The sequence below is a fragment of the Homo sapiens genome, chromosome 20, assembly GCF_000001405.40.
Source record: "Homo sapiens chromosome 20, GRCh38.p14 Primary Assembly".
Taxonomy (NCBI): Eukaryota; Metazoa; Chordata; class Mammalia; order Primates; family Hominidae; genus Homo; species Homo sapiens.
The window spans coordinates 46,802,778-46,804,550 of record NC_000020.11 but is presented as its reverse complement, the minus strand read 5'-3'; the positions used below and the strand labels follow the sequence as shown (position 1 = coordinate 46,804,550).

At 48.1% G+C, this 1,773-nt stretch overlaps 1 annotated feature.

Annotated features, from left to right (window-relative positions):
* Nucleotides 351-1,550: an enhancer, noted in NCBI's record as "BRD4-independent group 4 enhancer chr20:45431640-45432839 (GRCh37/hg19 assembly coordinates)". NCBI's record gives its function as "activates an origin of replication core promoter dependent on BRD2, P300/CBP, MED14 and CDK7 cofactors, and independent of BRD4, by STARR-seq in HCT116 cells {active_cell/tissue: HCT116}" and the evidence as "EXISTENCE:reporter gene assay evidence [ECO:0000049][PMID:35650434]".

The window sequence follows — 1,773 nt, the reverse complement described above, 5'->3', positions numbered from 1 at the left end:
TTCAGGCCCGAGATTGAATCTAGCCCCTTTCATTCCTCTCCATCTGTCCCTAGCAGGTCACCATTCTGGGAGTAACTTCACCCCGCAGAGGAGCCAGTGCTCGCCTCCAGTCACTCCCAGCCTCTCCTCTTTGGACTCTTTTTTCCTGGGAGGTGAGTGTTGAGTGCAGATGGGAAAGATGTATAATTGATGAGCCTCCAAGCCTGGCTGGGCTGAAGAGGTCAATTAATTATTAAATACAGACTCAATGGGAAGAAATTTCATTATGGGGTCACTTAATTAAGTAGCAGGCCAGAGGGACATTTGAGATGAGATTTCAAGGACTCTTGTTTCTGAGTTTGCTTTTGGGCCAAGTCTGAGGGTATGAACAAAAAAGAAGTGACCCTTAAACCTGAAGCATTTGAGTGAGTCCGTCCTCCTCCTCCTCCCTTCCCTGCCCCCGACTTTCCTCCCTTCCTCCTTTGCCTTTCTCCCCCTCCTTCTCTTCCTTCTGCCCTTCCTTCCTGCCTTCCTTTCTTTTCTCTCTTCCTCCTAACCTCTTCATTCCTTCATTTATTTCACATATATTTATGGAGTATCTTCCATGAACCGGGCATCCGCGTAAACACTCGGGTTGCAGTGGTGACAAAACAGCTTAATTCTGGCAGAGGAGACAAGCAACAGCCAAGTAAAGGACCAAATGCCCAAGAAGCCATCGCCCAGGTGGCTGCTGTGCTGAGCTGCAGAGCAGACTGACGGTTGCATCGAGAGGGGCTTGCCAAGGAGGTCCCTATGAGGGGGTAACACTTGAGCTGAGTCCTGAGGCATGAGAAGGAAACAATCCGGCAGTTCGGCAGAAGGACACTCTAGGCAGAGGGAACAACAGCAAGTGCACAGGACAAGCTAGTGTGTTCCCAGAATAGCCAGGAAGCTGGTGTGGCTGGAACACAGTCAGGGAGGGGAAGCATGGTAAGATATGAGTTTGAAGAAGTGGGCAGTTGCCTAACAGATGATTGACGGACAGGGCTTTTTTTTTTTCCCACAGGCCCTGGGAGAAGCTCTCTGCCACTCACTGTATTATCACTGAAGCTCTCTACCACTCACTGTATTATCACTGAAGCTCTCTACCACTCACTCACCAATGCATGCTGCATGTTCAGCGGTATGGGATGGAAATCCAACTCAAGCTGTCTCATTCAAATAGGGGATTTTATTGAGCCACGTAGTTGAAACAAACAGGTAATTGGGCTTCAGCCATGGCTGAATCCAGTAGCTCAATGATGATGTAATGAAGTTTTGACTCTTTCCCTTTATCTCTCTCTCTCTCAACTCTGTCTCCCATTTCAGGGAGTTTCAGGCTATACTCTGCAAGCTTAGAAATCTTAGCAAAAGAGAACACCTCTTCCTAAAGAGTTACAGCTAATGTGCTAGTTCAACATTTTATCAAATGGCCTGGGTCAGCTGCCCACTGCTGAACCAATTGCTGTGGCTGGGAGTGTGGATACTCTGATCAGCCAGGACTGGACTTGGGGAGAGACGGAGCTTCACAGAGTAGAAGTGGGGGAGGGGTGGACCCCAGACAAAAACTATGGTGCCATGGCCAGAAGAGGGAATGGATTCTGGGCAGACGTAAACAACAGATGTTCACTTTACCTCTTGGACAGTCTGTCTCTTTTTCTTTGCTGGCAAAGGCTGTTGTTTTGAAGAATCCATCATGAGGCATTATCCCATCTTAACAGTGGGCATGCGTGAACTGCAGGCATTGACATAAATCTTGATCATACAGGATTAGCA